Source organism: Homo sapiens, chromosome 4, assembly GCF_000001405.40.
Source record: "Homo sapiens chromosome 4, GRCh38.p14 Primary Assembly".
NCBI lineage: Eukaryota > Metazoa > Chordata > Mammalia > Primates > Hominidae > Homo > Homo sapiens.
Genome location: NC_000004.12, coordinates 120,778,757 through 120,794,094, shown reverse-complemented (window position 1 = coordinate 120,794,094; position 15,338 = coordinate 120,778,757). Strand labels below are relative to the sequence as shown.

Below are 15,338 nucleotides of genomic sequence, written 5' to 3'. Positions count from 1 at the left end.
TTGAATCTGACAGAAGGAACCACAGATACAGGTCATTATCTAAATACTTAGCTAATGGCAAATTGCTTGCCTTATTTTAATTGTTCTTTCTCTTAAGTGGATGATGAGATAGCAATGTACAATTTCAAACAATATTTTTTACTTATTTTTTTATTTATTGAAGCATAATGACAAGTGAAATTTGTGTATGTTTATGGTGTACAATGTAATGTTTATATGTATACACACACACACACATTGTGAAATGATTACCACCTAATTAATGTATTCATTACTCACACGTTATCTTTTTTTGTAGTGAAAATATCCAAAATCTACTCTGTTAATTTTAAGTGTTCTCACCACACAAAAAGGATAAGCATGTGAAATAATGGATATGTTAATTAGCTTGATTTAGCCATTTCACTAAACATGTCATACACCATATAGATACAATTTTTATTTGTCAATTAAAATAATTAAATACAATGAAGATCTACTTTCTTAGCAATCTTCAAGTACAATACATTATTACTAAATGTAGCCACAAGGCTATACTACAGTGGTCCCCAGCTTTCTTGATGCCAGGGACCAGTTTCATGGAAGACAGTTTTTCCATGGACCAGTGTTGGGCAGGGGATGGTTTTGGGATGATTCAAGTGCATCATATTTATTATGCACTTTATTTCTATTATTATTACATTGTAAAATATAATGAAATAATTATACAACTCACCATAATGTAGAATCAGTGGGAGCCCTCAGCTTGTTTTCCTACAACTAGATGGTCCCATCTAGGGGTGATGAGAGACAGTGACAGATCATCAGGCATTAGATTCTCATAAGGAGCATGCAACCTAGATCCCTTGTGTGTGCAGTTCACAATAGGATTCACCCTCCTGTGAGAATCTAATGCCGCCACTGATCTCACAGGAGGTGGGGCTCAGGCGGTAATGTGAGTGATGGGGAGTGGCTGTAAATACAGATGAAGCTTCACTCACTTGCCCGCCACTCACCTCCTGCTGTGTGGCCTGGTTTCTAACAGGCTACGGGCTGATATTGTGGGGTTGGATAATCCTGCTGTAGCAGGGTTGGGGACCCCCTGCTGTAGTATACATCTCTAGAACTTACTTATCCTGTGTAACTGAAACTTTGTATCCCTTGACCAACATCTTCCCATTCCTCCCTTCCCCTGCCCCTTTACCTCTACCCCTAGTTCCTGGCAACCACCGTTCTACCCTCTGCTTCTGTGTGTTCAGCCTTTTTAGATTCCACATGTAAGTGAGATCATGCAGTATTTGTCTTTCTGTGCCTGGTTTATTTCACTTATCATAATGTCCTCCATGTTCATTAATGTTGCCAAAAATGACAGGATTTCTTTCTTTTTTAAGGCTGAATAGTATTACATTGTGTCTATATACCACATTTTCTTTATCCATTCATCTGTCAATGGCTTCTTAGGTTGTTTTTATATCCTGGCTTTTACGCAATGAACCTGAGAGTGTAGGTGTCTCTTTGACAAACTGATTTCACTTTCTTTGAAGATGTACCCGGAAGTGGGACTGCTGGATCATATGGTAGTCCTATTTTTAACTTTTTCAGAAACTTCCATACTGTTTTCTACAATGGATATGCTAATTTACATTTCAACCAACAGTATACAGGGGTTCCAATAGTTCTTGCTGTTTTAGTAGATATCTTATGAAAATAACTTTAAAATCGTACATGCATGTCTGGTAGTCAGTTTTGGAGCTCGAGTTGTGAACCTTCCCAACAGCTACCTTCTCCTGCCTGTCATGGTTTCAGTCTCCGCACCAGTGGAGTGACTTTCTTCAATATAGTAAAAACTGTACTCATTATTTGTACAAATTATTTGTTAATTATTACCACATGTGCCAATATATATGAAGGCCAATGATCCTAACTGGAGGATATTTTGTAGACTGAGGAAAACACAATTTTTATCTTTATTATAATGCCTTTGACATACTTTCGGTCACAGTTTGTAATGGGTTTGCACATAGAAGATTAGAGATGAGATGGTGGGTGTCTTCAGTTTAAGCTGCTATAACAAAATACCTTGGGCTGGGTGGTTTAAACAACAAACAGTTATTTCTCACAGTTCTGGAGGCTGGATAATGTAAGATCAAGGTGCTGGCAAATCTGGTATCTAGTGAGGGCCCACTTCCTGGTTTGCAGATGACTGTCTTCTTGTATCCTCACATGAGGGAGAAAGAGGGAGTGCAAGCTCTCCTATCTCTTTTGATAACGGCACTAATCCAGTTCACAAAGCGTCCACCCTTAGAACCTAATTACTTCCTAGAGGTCCCAACTCCTAATACCATCACATTGGGGGTTAAGACGCAACCTATGAATTTTGGTCGGACACAAACATTGAGTCCATAGCAGTGAGAGTTGGTGGTGGTTGGGTGGCAGAGCCAGGGGGTGAGGGTCAGAATTGGAAAAGGTGGGCATTGGAATGGAAAAGAGAGAATGAGATGTCACTCAGTGTCCTGAGGCTGAGAAGAGATTTCAAAGTATTAGATCAGACAGGAAGTTTTCAAGCGAAGTATTCTACCATAGAAGGCACCTCTTTCATATCTCTTGTAAAATCTTTAGTAACATTTGCATTTCACACTAATGTTTTTGTGTAAGAGGAAGTTCTTTTAGGTGAGTTTGGAGAAGAACAGAGTTCCAGCTGCCCATCTGGGAGATAAGTATATTTAAAAGTAACTAGTACTATGACACATATGTATCATTCAGGAACCTACTTCTTTGCCTTAACATATGATTTGCAGGGATGTTTATGTTAGTTCATATAAATCTACTCATTTTTTTTGTAACCACTGCTATTTTGAACAATAATGCAGTGAACATCCTTTTATATAAAACTTTAAAACTATGCTAAGAGTATTTTTGTGCATAGATCTCAGGTGTGGAATTTCTGGGTCAAATAGGAAGTCTACTTTATGTTTAGATCCTCCTACCCACTGCCTTCTGAAAAGCTCTACTTTCTCTTAACAGTGTATAAAATGCCATTTTACTCTTCACCAATATTTCATTTTGTTAGTCTTCTATTTTCAGTCTGAGAATTAAAAAGTGATTCTCATTACATTTTATCAGTGATGAGTAAAATTGTATGTGTGTTTTTCTGTTTTTTTGTTTGTTTGTTTTTGACAAGGTCTTGCTCTATCACCCAGGCTGGAGTGCAGTGGCACGATCTCCACTCACTGCAGCCTCCACCTCCAAGGCTCAAGCAGTCTTCCACCTCAGCCTCCCGAGTAGTGCACACCACCATGCTTGGCTAAATCTATCTATCCATCCAACTGTTTTTTTATTTATCTTGCCTGACCCAGTATTCACCAAATATTTGAAATCCTATTACCATTTTAGTATCTGTAAAAATTCTACAGATTTATGTTATGTAGAAAACTATTTGCTACTCAGGAACTGGCTTTAATATTTATAGAACGTGATTTTTTTCATAGGACTAAAATTGCTCCCTTGTTGTTTGTCTCTTTGAACTTTAGGAATCTTTACGTATTTCTGTATAGATGGTACATAAATCTCAATTTAAAAAAATTACCAATTTCTTTAGCCAGCCTGCCTAGAAAACAAGTTATCTACTAGAGGAGCTAGTATAGTTACTAAGAGTTGTTACATATGAGTTATTAATATTAGGCTGCCTATTTTTATGCAGAAAATTCTCCTGTACAATAACTGTGATGAGTGTGAAAACTGTATCTTCATGAGTGAAGCTACAGGTGTATGTTATCTGGTTATTTCTGTGAAGCCACATGGTTGTCATTTCCATCTATTTCAGGAGCTACATTGCAGAGGAGAGAATACACTTGTTCAGCACGCTCTAAGTTAGCTGTAATAAATGGTAGCTGTTGTAAAAAGGCTTAACTTTTCAGTTAATGGTCAAGTCAGCCAGCCTAGGAGGTCATGTGTTTGTTCAAAGCAGTGTTTGTGAGAAGCGTCCTTAATTAGAGACATGAGTTATGGCTCTTACCAGTGTCGTTGAGTGGAAGGTTTCCTGACTTGGAATCTTTGTTGCTACCTTCTATAACTTCATCTGAAAATCTGTGGTTATTTCTTCTCTTAGCAACTTCCCTTTGCCCTAATCAGGATTGTGGGGACTCAGTAGTTGGCTCCCTGGCATTGTGGCTTTGTACTGATGGAATTGTGGCTTTGAAGCAGTGGGAAGGTTGGACTTGGCTCTGCAAGACTATAGTTATGTAGGAACATCAACTAAATTTCATGCTTTTAACTTCTCTATGTGGAGTGAGCTACCCATTTCTCTACTGAGCTTAAAGTAACTGACTTCTTCAATATCTTTCCAGTTTCAATTTATTTTGTGAGGAGGAGTACTTTTCAAGAAGTCAGTTATAAATTTGACAGTAAAAATTTAATCCACAGACCTTGTAAACATCCAGATGACATGTATTTTATGTAGCTTTAGCTTTATTGTGTGGCCCACTGGGATGGTAATGTGCTATGACATGAAACCTGAGTCTTCAATAATAAAACTCTATAAAAATAATCGTTCTAGCAAACATACCTCTGGAATATTTTCTCCAAATTTGTTTTATCTTTAGTTGTTTCTTCTAATTTTAAGGTAGTTTTATTGGTTTGCACATACCCCAAAGAAGAAATACCATTACCAAGAAATACTTTTACCATGGAGTAATATATATTCTTGATAGTCAGTAGTATAATTTTTAATTGTAAATGGTCCTTAATTTCATTTTATTCTCATGGAATTAATATTTGATCTGTGTGGCTAGAAATGTATTAATCTGGTAATTAATGTACATTACGCCAGAAACCTTCTGAAGCATTTTCGAGACATTCTAGTAGGTGTTATAAATAGTGCAACAGATTTTATGTATTTTTTATATCTGCAAAAGAGTTGGTATATAAAAAGATATGTTTCATAGTACTTGTTCATGGACTAGTTCATTTGTTACATTGGGAGATGTTAGTGTCATCAGTGACTTGGCATACAAATGGGATGTTCTACAGAACATCATAGGGTTATTAAGGATCATTTGATCAATAAATCAGTGAAAAGCTTGGCATTCATTAGAGGTGAAAGATTGAAGGACAAGTACCTTTAAAAAAGCTTGATTTCATCTGATACTTGTAAAATATATCTTGGAGACAGAAGTTCTCTATTTGCAACATGCAAGCATCTTACTGTGCCTTACTTAAATTAGGTGGCTTCTCAATGTCTTCCAGTTGATTGAATGCATGGGTTCTCTGCCATCCCAACCCAGATGGTGACATTGGCATCCTTCTTGACAAAAGTATTTATTCACCTGGCTATGCACAGACATCTTACTACTTAAAATATGTCATTGGCTTTAGGCCAATATCTAGATGTTGTGGCTTTGGTTGAACATAGTTAAAAGGCATTATGCTGTCCCAGGTTCTTTCATAATTAAGCAACTTAAGTCATGTTCCTTAAGTCATGTTATGTCCCAAATTTGGAAAGAGAAAAAATGAATTAGGGAGGAATATAGTATTTTTAGAAGATGGGAGCAATCCTGTGTTCCAACCTGGATGCTCTAAAAACAAAATAGTTTCTACCTTTTTATGATAATGCTGTCTACTTATTGTTTTGTAGAAAATCTAAGTAGCAAAGAAAGGTATAAAGAAGAAAGCAAACATTCTGTCAAATATCACTGTCTTTCCTTTAAAAACCCTCCTCAATGTTTTGTAGAATGTCTTCCTGGACTCCATTCTGTGTGCATATATGTATGCGGCTTAAATGGTATTCTTTATATTATGTTTTGCATTCTGCTTTTGTCACCTAAAGTATGATATGCATGACTTTTCATATCTAAGAAAATAAATATAGAATTATAATATCTACTACAGTTTAGTTAACCAGGTTTATATCTTTTTATGGGCATTTAGGAATTTTCCTTTTATTTAAAAAAAAGTAGTTTTTGCAAAAATTTGTCAGTTGTATTTCTGTAAAGGGAATTGGTTAGTCAAGGGATGTGCACATTTGTCATTTTGGTACATAGAACCACATTGTTATGCAGAAAATTTTTATTCCCAATTACAGTATGTGGGATTGCCTGTTTTTACTCTTTAGTCAACACTGAATGGTATCCATCATCTTCATCTTTGGCAGTCTGATTAATCACAGATAGTATCTTTATTTTTAATTTTTCATTCCTTTATCATATTCATGGCTTTAAATATTGATACCATATGTAATCTGACATCTCCATCTTATACCTTATTATCCAGACTTGAAATATTCAAGTACCTGTAGTGCTAGACATCTCGTAATATTTATTTGAACTTGCCCCAAATTGAACCCCTGATGTTTTACTCAGACTTGTTTCTTGCTGCTCTTCTGCATATCTGTTAGTGGCTAATCCATCATTGCATTGCTCAGATCACAAATCTTGGAGTCATGCTTGCCTCCTTCTTTTTGTGTCTCATGCTTCATATCCAGGTACTTTCTCAAAACCTGTTCACTTTCAGAAGATATTTAGAACTCTACTACTTCTCTTCACATCTGTGGCTACCAACCTGGATAAGCTCTAATTATCTCTCTCCTGCTGCATTGCTGTTGCTTCTCCACTTTGTGTTTTCCCCTACATTTTGTTGTCAACACAGCCATCAAGGCATCCTGTTAAATGTCAGGTGAATTGTGTCCCTCATCTGCTCAAAATCCTGCAGAAAGTTACATCTCTCTTAGAATAAAAGACAAAATTCCTGCACTGGCCAGTCAGGCCGTACACGATTTGCTTCTCCTCCTCACTTCTCCCATTCTTCTGACTGCATCTCTCCACTTCTCTGCCCATTTCACATGGCTCCAACCACACTGGCTTCCGTGATGTTTCTTGACTAGGTCACCCGAATACCCACCCTTGCTCCTTCATATCCATCAGATCTTATCTCATAGGTCACCTTCTCAGCTAGAATTTTCTTGACCACCTATTTAAAATTGCTACCCCATTCTCTGAAATGTTTGTTATCTTCTTTCTTGCTTTATTTTTCTCCATCACATTTATCCCTTCCTAATATAGTACATACTTTTTCATTTGTTTATTGTCCTTCTCCTCTGCTAGTGTAAAAGCTTCGTGATAGCAGGGACATTGTCTTTTGGTTCATGGCTATAGGCTCAGCATCTAAAATAGGACTTGCTAGTAGAGGCATGAAACGCATAGCGTAGACCTGGCATAAAATAAAACGATGAATGAAATTTTAGGAGTGCTATTTGGAAGGGAGTCCTTTTGTCCATTTTCATCTTTTCTTATTAAGATGCCATAACTTCTTATATTAGCAACATTACACTTCTGTTTTATGTTGCAGATATTTATTTTGTCATCAAAGATTTTTGCTTTGGAGCTTTAAGTTTATTTCTGTCATTTCAATGTCTGGTTTACCTTGCTTGGAAAGCCTTTCCAGACTCAAAAGTTATTTAAAAATTTACTCGGATTTTCTTCTAGTACATTTAAAGTGTTATTCTTCATTTTAAGAAAAATACCTAAATTGATTTGCAATTTATCTTATTGTAGGAGGTGAGTGGTAGATCCAACATTACTTTTGCCCGAATATCTGGACGTTTGCCTCAAAGCCATTTACTAAACTTTCTACTCTTTTCCCACCAATTTTAAATGCCATATTTCTCCTGTACTAAATGTTCATGTATTTTATGTAATGCAAGAGACCTACTTGTTTTTCTGTTTTATTGATCTATGTATTTCCATGCTGTCATTTTAATTTCTTTGGGTAAATAGCACATTAGATTATCTGTGATTTATCCTGACTAATCTTAAATATCTGTTCTTTCATGCTTTCTCTATATCTTTCACAAATAAAACCAAACATGAAAATGTCTTTCTCACCAACATTATGCTAATAGATTATGCTTGTATGTTTAATATTATGTCTGCTAAACTAAGAAAATATATAAATTAATAGGCTATAAATAAAGTGACTTTTCTTTAAATTACTTTTTTGTTTTTGTCACATGTATTATAAAAACCCATCAGTTATGATTTGTTTTATGTAATATGAGATAATAGTTTAATTTTTGATTTTTTAGCATTTATGAGACTTATTATCATGCCATCTATAGTAGAATAAGATTTTATTTACTGATTTGTGCCGAATGGGTTTATACTGGTGTGTAATGTAAAAGAGGTGGAGTGAGCAGTGTTTGCTGTTTTGTTTTGGTTTTGTTTTTGAATTTTAGATCTAGTTAGTGGCTTTTCATTGTTTCTTGTTTGTCAGTATATTTTTGTTTCTTATGTACCTGGGTGCTTAATATTGTTTGGGAAATCTATGCTGTTTGACCTTCCCAAGTTACCGCAACTTTTTGAGCCTTAGTTTTATCATTTGTAAACTGGAGTCAGTAATAGTGTTTTATTAATCCAGTTACTGTTGTAATTAAGTGAAATGATTTATGTAAAGTGTTTAGAATAGCATTTGACACAAATTAAATATTTAATGAATGTTAATTAGGGTTAATTATAACATGAATAAGTGCTCTAGTGTAATTTAGGGGAAAAGCAGCACCTAGGACTAGAATTATTTGAACTGATTCAGTGAAGTTGAGAGAAAAGGGTGAAAACAATTTCTCTTTTAATAATTTCTTTTATCTGTGTTGCAAATGTTGTACCAGCAGAGTAAAAGCCTGGCCAGTGATAGGGGAGGCTTAGTTTTCAGAGAAAGTACGCACAGTTTCACTACAAAGTAGGCCCTGAGAAATCTCAGTGTGTATTCAGATTAGCAGTTTGAGATAATAGGAATATTTTTTTTTTACTATTTATCAAGTTAATAATTACTGTGAGCATTCAAAAGTTATTTTTCCTCTTGCAAACACAGCACATTTGTCTTTACAATTTTACGGTGGAAGAATGGCACTAGAAGAAACAGATACTGTCCACCTTCCCTTCTTTCCTCTTTCGCATCATGAATCCAAGCTCCACTCGTTCATTGTAATGACTGGTTGATTCTAGATCCTCCTGACTCAGTGTTTTTCCTCTGCAGACCCACTCTGAGGAGAGACCGTTCCAATGTGAAGAATGTAAAGCTTTGTTCCGGACCCCATTTTCTTTACAGAGACACCTGCTAATACATAACAGTAAGTCACGATTCAGGCAGTTGAGAATATAAGGAATTATCTCATACTTTGTTTTTATAACCTTTGAGAATGTAGACATCCCAGAGGTGTGCCTATAAGTATTTATATAATCTGACTGTAAACATAAGAAAGACCGAAAATTCTGCCTTTCACTTTTTTTCGCTTTATATTTGCTTTATTTTTCCACAGTAATATTAATTATTTTATGAGATATTTTATTTTCTATAATTTCTTCCCATTATTTAAAGTTTCTATATAAAAGCATTTTCCATATTCAGGAAGACATCTTTGAGTTTTGTTTTGACACATGATTTTGTTTCCTTTCAAATATAATGATTAAGAAAACGTGTCAGACTCTTTAAAATATGCAGATATCTGGCATCGTTTTATGAGCTCACAAACTTTTCAAGTTGTAAAGGATCAGAGTGCACATCTAATCGGACACCTTAATTTGAGGAGGATACAAAATATTGAGGCTCCAAAGCACCATGACATACTCAAGATTTCACAGCGCAAGGAGTAGCAAACAGGTCCCTGATAGGTGCTTTTCCTACTTACCACTGCCTGAGATTTCTTCTTTTGTCAGAGGCAATTTTTTTCTTTTGGATTAATTTTATACATACACACCATGAGGTGCGTTTCCTACTTGCTACTGTCTCAGATTTCTTCTTTTTGCAGTCACATTCTTTTTCTTTCTGATTAAGTTTCATACATACGCACCATGAAAGTCTAACGCCTACACTTAGAGCTCTTTTTACAACACCACAGAATGTCCAGTTATATCACTAAAGGATATCCCTTCATTGAGAAGAACATGTTATTGCCAAGCTGAGTTTTAAAGTGGATTCTCTGTTTAGATGCTGAAGTAGCCAGAAACTTACTACAGTACTATATCTAAAATTAATGGAAAAATTGTGTACCATGGGTAATATTTACACTTCTTACTTTTAAGTTAATTAGCTTAATCAGTAGAAAATCCTCTATACACATGAAGTTCCTACTGCTGCTTAAACTTTTAATATTCCTGAGGAAAGAAAAAAGTAATTAATTTTGACAGTTGGTTATACAGAGGCAGTATCTTGGAGAATTTTCCTCTGGTCAAGTGTTTAAAATGCCAAATAATAAAGATACTAAGATTTCTTAAAATAAGTATTGAGTGGTAATGATTCTGATGAAATGCAATCTGCTTCCTGTAAAAAAAGGCAGTGTTATGCTCTCAGGTCATTCTGCATTCAGCTTACAGGTCTAAAGAAGTTATTAGCACAACTTACCAGTTTTCTTATTAAAAAGAATTATGTGTTTAAAAATAAAATTTGTTGTGCAATTGCAGGAATTTCTATTATAGTTCATTACCAGTTTGATTTAGAAAAATAACTGTTATGAGATGAATGAATGTTAGAATAGAGATTTGGACAAGTAAACCTCATTCATACTATTGAAATATGGCTAAATTTGACTTGATGCTTGGGAAATTTTGCTTGGGAATGATGAAATTTTATTTCTAATAACAGCAAGGAATTCTTAACAGAAGTAATCTACCACCTTTGCTTTCAGTTTTTTTGTTCTCATTCACTTGAGAAATAGGATTAAAGTGACTATGTGTAGACTGTGCTGTGGAGTATGTATTTAATATGATGTTGATCAGCACATTAATCACAGGCTTTATGAAGATGCATCGTGACATTTGGCCAGGAAAATCAACTTTGATAACTGAGTGAGTAAATGAGTTATTTTAGGGAAATAAAGTTAGATATCAGTTAGTGAAAAGAATGGGAAAACCAGAAATGGCTAAAATAGGGAGGACAAAATACTACGTCTTATGCAATATGAAAATTAAAACCCATTTATTTAACTTTAAAATATGAAAGCTGTTGTTAGAAACTTACATCAGCTTTCTGGCTCAAAATGTGAAGAATAACTTGTAATGATTTTGGAAATTGTTGCTATTTCCCAATATGTTGAAAACCAAAAGGCAAGTTGCTGGCTAGCTTGTAGGTACTAAGATAGGGAAAAAATCTGATAAATTTAACACAAAGAAATCTGCAATTAAAGTATGAAAGAAGGAAGGTAAGAACTTCCTTGCTATAGCTTGATGAGATTTTGTACAGGGACCAACATTTTTATTCACTTGATAGTTTAATGAAAATGCTTTGATAGGAACAATCTTAGAGGTTTTTTTAAAAAGATCTCTTTCAGTACCTGAATCGATTTGATATTAACATTAATGTTTACAGTCTTTTATCAATTGATATTTCCTTATGCTATCACTGATTATACAACTTATACAAACAGAATGTTTAAATAAAACAGAAAGTATAAAGATAGTGTATAAGAATAATACTCTGCAACAAAAACACACAAAAAACCAAGCTCTCAGAATCCACATAGTTCATGCATTGTATGGACGTGACTTTGTTTCAGACATTAAATTTCAAAAGGACTCTAAGAGACTTTAAGTTAGAGAGGGATAATTCTATTTAGAAAGACAAAGAGAAGGTAATTTTTCTTTTCCTTTTCTCCTTCTTTTTGTCCCTCCCTCCCTTCCTTCCTTTCTTCCTTCCTTTCATGTGAAGAAATAATAGAGTCTTCATATTTCTAAATTTAGTGCTAGTTATGATGGAAGGAATTTAGAAGAGCTTGGCTAAAATTGAGATAATCTCTTATTTAGATATAGAAATTTAATTATTCTTAATTTTGCCTTGTTATCAATATGATATGGGAATCTATGTTAATATGATTGTTTTCTAAAAAGGGAAATTATATTCAAATACTAGTCTGTCTTATTTATATAGTCACATACTACATACATTTTATACCGTATTGTTATTAAACATCGTGTTCTCATTGCACACATTCATTGCTGAAATTGTATTTAAAATGGCCACTAAAACTTAGGCCCATGTGTTAAGAAGAACTATAAAAATAGCATTATATGAAAGTTAGAAAGTACCATAAGATTTCTATATATGTTTTCTGAGGTTGCTTTCCCCTCAGCCCCAGGCTGGATAATGAGAAGAAAGTGAAATACCCAGGGTGGCTAATAGTCTTGCTATCCCAATTTAATTCCTCTCTGAAAGACCCCATCCCTCAAAGCCTTGGAGACTTTTTCCAACTGCCCAAGGGCTGAATCAGGGAGCCTCCAGTCCAGGAAGCAGGGGCATTGTAACTTTCCCTCTCCCAGAATGGGAGGGCCTGAGCTCTGATGCACACCCTCTGCCCTCAGAGGCTTTCCTCCTCAGCTCTCTACCTACAATCCAATTCTGCCTATTATCTATTCACAGGAGGTTATAGGGACCGTGGTGGGATTTGAGGGAACTTTGGGAGGGGCCCAAAGGCAACTCACCTTGCTTGACAGAGGTCTTGTGTCACTGGAGTCTATTTACCTCAAATCCCAGCCCCCGCTGTAGAAGTACATACTTTTAAAAAATGTTCATGGTAACTTTGAGAATTCTGCTAATTCAGTCCCCACGTTTTCCAGTTGAGAAGACTGAAGATGTAAGATGAAAGGACTTCTGCCTAGTCACACAGTGAATTAGCAAATAATGGAACTGGAATTTGTTGTAAAAAATAAAAAGTTAACATTCTTAGAGCTACAAAGCCAACATTTTGGAGAAAGCAACTAAGTCTGGCATACATGGGAGGAAATTAATAGGACCCTGCTATTGCTTCTTAAATGTTTCTCTTTGTTTCTAAGGTGAGAGGACTTTCAAGTGCCATCACTGCGATGCTACCTTTAAGAGGAAGGATACATTAAATGTTCATGTCCAGGTGGTTCATGAAAGACACAAGAAGTATAGGTGTGAGCTATGTAATAAGGCCTTTGTTACACCTTCAGTGCTTAGAAGTCATAAGAAAGTAAGTGGAAGTCTTCTGTTAGTTTGAACAGATTACGTGTTTAAGCAGTATGGGTATATATGTTAACTAACATGTGATAATTATATATTAATCTATCAAAATATTTACTCAAAATGACAAATGCATGATTTATATCAGCTCTTCAGACAATGTTCACTTTCTTCATCTTTCAGGATAGACCTATTTTTTTCCATGAATGAGAACCTGAGTTAGATGTAGACTCTTCATAACCCATAGCTTTGCTGATAGATGGCTTCTAAAAAGTACTCAATGAGCAGGAGCTTATCAATTTTTATATATTTTTGAATTAATGTAGGCTGTTTCTTTCTAAGAAATATGAGTAGTACTTTAATAATTTTATATTTCAAAGTGAATTCTTATGTTTATTGGCAAGTTAATAGACTGAACCCTTTTGTTATTGGGATAGGCTTTGATCTTTACCTCTCTAGAGCATAGGGAAGTTTCTGGTACAGAATGGGGACTCGATAAATACTTGCTTAACTCAAAGAAAATGTTCATATAGTGATTTGGAGATTTTTTTGTGTGTGTCTTATGCTACTTGGGTCATTACCTCAAGGGAATCAAGTTTATTTTTTACGTGCTCAATAATGCGTTTTAAAGTATATATTTTAAATAGTAAAATTTGTATTGTAACAAATACACTTAAAGGTTTTAATGTTGACTTTTTTCCTTATTTTGGAGACAGAGTCTCGCTCTGTTGCCCAGGCTGTAGTGCAGTGGTGTCATCATAGCTTACTGTATCCTTGAACACCTGGGCTCAAGTGATCCTCCTGTTGAAACCTCCCGAGTAGCTGAGACTAGTCATGTCTCACCATGCCCAGATAATTTTTTAAAATTTTTGTAGAGATAGGGTCTTGCTATGTTGCCCAGGATGGTCTTGAACTCCTGGGCTCAAGCTATCCTCCTCTGAAAGTGCTGGAATTACAGGCATGAGACACTGCACTCAGGCAGTGTTAACTTTAGAAGTAACCATGAAGTATGGTAGTTTTCTGCCATTAGTGTGTGATACTGAATGAATGTGAAGAAATAACTCCTGTTTCAGTATCTATCTATCTTATCTGTCCTTAATACAACTGTTTCAAAAGGATTGAATTGAGTAACTTTCTTTTCCTGTATTTTTTTAATATTTAATTTTTATGGGTACATAGTAGATATAGTTATATACAGGAGATATTATATATATATATTGTTTGTTTGTTTGTTTGTTTGTTTGAGTCAGAGTCTCACTCTGTCACCCAGGCTGGAGTGCAGTGGTGCCATCTCGGCTCTCCGCTCTCCACAACCTGTGCCTCCTGGGTTCAAGCAATTCTTGAGCCTCAAACTCCCAAGTAGCTGGGATTATAGGTGCCTGCTACCACGCCTGGCTAATTTTTTGTATTTTTAGTAGAGACGGAGTTTCACCATGCTGGCCAGGCTGGCCTTGAACTCTTGACCTCAAATGATGTGCCCGCCTTGGGTTCCCAAAGTTCTGGGATTGTAGGCATAAGTCACTGTGCCCAGCCTGAGATATTGTATTTTGATACAGGTATTCAGTGTATAATAATCACATCTAGGGCATATGGGTTCCTGTATTTTTAATGCTGAGTAATAATGATATTATCTGGTGTTTTTAGCTCTCTGAATAAACTAGTCTTTCAACTTTCTTTGCTTTAATTACTTTTTGCATGAATTTAACACATTTTTTGTTGACTTTCAATAAATAAAGGAAAAGTATAGTGAGCTTTCAAGAGAGATTACTTTGTCTGCAATAATAGTCACACAGTATATTCATAGTGTGTTGCTCATTTTAATCTCATAAATTTATTCAGTATTCTTAAAGTGAGCTGTTTCCATGCTTTCTTGTTCATATTTAAGGTAGTTTAGTATTATACCTTTAATGTCTTTTGAAACTAGCTAACCAAAATTGGAACCTAATAATAGATATATTTTTGAGTTAAGTGAAAGGAATATTTTAATTTTTTTCATTAATATAACCCTAATATCCTTTAGTTTGGAACTTCTTCAGTTTGGAACCAATGGCAGTCATATAAATGAACAATGAAATACATAGCAGCAAAAGAAATGCTGTGATTTTATAAATAAATTACAAATAAATTAGTAATTATCTGTTTGGAATAATTCAGTGCTATAACAATAGATATGTATATATAATTTCTAAACAATAATGAAACACAAATTGGCATATTTTGCCCCTTCTGTCAGGGAATGGAAAGAAGAGAGGTCTGTTATAAGTTAAAATGTTATATATTTTACTTTAGATTGAACCATAATGTGGACCTGGGGAGTAAAGGCTCTTACTGAAATGTAAAGATAAATAACTATTTTGTATATCAGCTTGTAGTAAAAATGGAAAGTTAAGTGCTTG

At 35.0% G+C, this 15,338-nt stretch overlaps 1 protein-coding gene across 23 annotated transcripts in view, besides 2 other annotated features; it reads left to right on the top strand.

The window, feature by feature from the left end:
• Positions 1 to 15,338, top strand: part of PRDM5 (PR/SET domain 5) — a 238,436-nt gene that overhangs the window by 128,632 nt on the left and 94,466 nt on the right. For 22 of the 23 annotated variants that reach the window (XR_938678.2, XR_938680.3, XR_938679.2 and 19 more), the window contains 2 exons: positions 9,004 to 9,097; positions 12,792 to 12,952. Coding sequence is in view for 20 of the 23 variants with exons in the window: in XM_047449558.1 (XP_047305514.1) it covers positions 9,004 to 9,097; positions 12,792 to 12,952 (255 nt within the window). In the remaining 3 variants the exon portion in view is untranslated. Of the gene's footprint in view, positions 1 to 9,003; positions 9,098 to 12,791; positions 12,953 to 15,338 lie in introns of those variants that run through there. The other variant, XM_005262708.4, reaches the window with a different exon arrangement.
• Positions 3,310 to 3,479: an enhancer, noted in NCBI's record as "experimental_72607 CRE fragment used in MPRA reporter constructs". NCBI's record gives its function as "activates a minimal promoter by MPRAs in K562 erythroleukemia cells, with activity observed for the non-introgressed 4:121711856 variant allele {active_cell/tissue: K562}" and the evidence as "EXISTENCE:reporter gene assay evidence [ECO:0000049][PMID:34662402]".
• Positions 8,605 to 8,774: an enhancer, noted in NCBI's record as "experimental_72587 CRE fragment used in MPRA reporter constructs". NCBI's record gives its function as "activates a minimal promoter by MPRAs in K562 erythroleukemia cells, with activity observed for the non-introgressed 4:121706561 variant allele {active_cell/tissue: K562}" and the evidence as "EXISTENCE:reporter gene assay evidence [ECO:0000049][PMID:34662402]".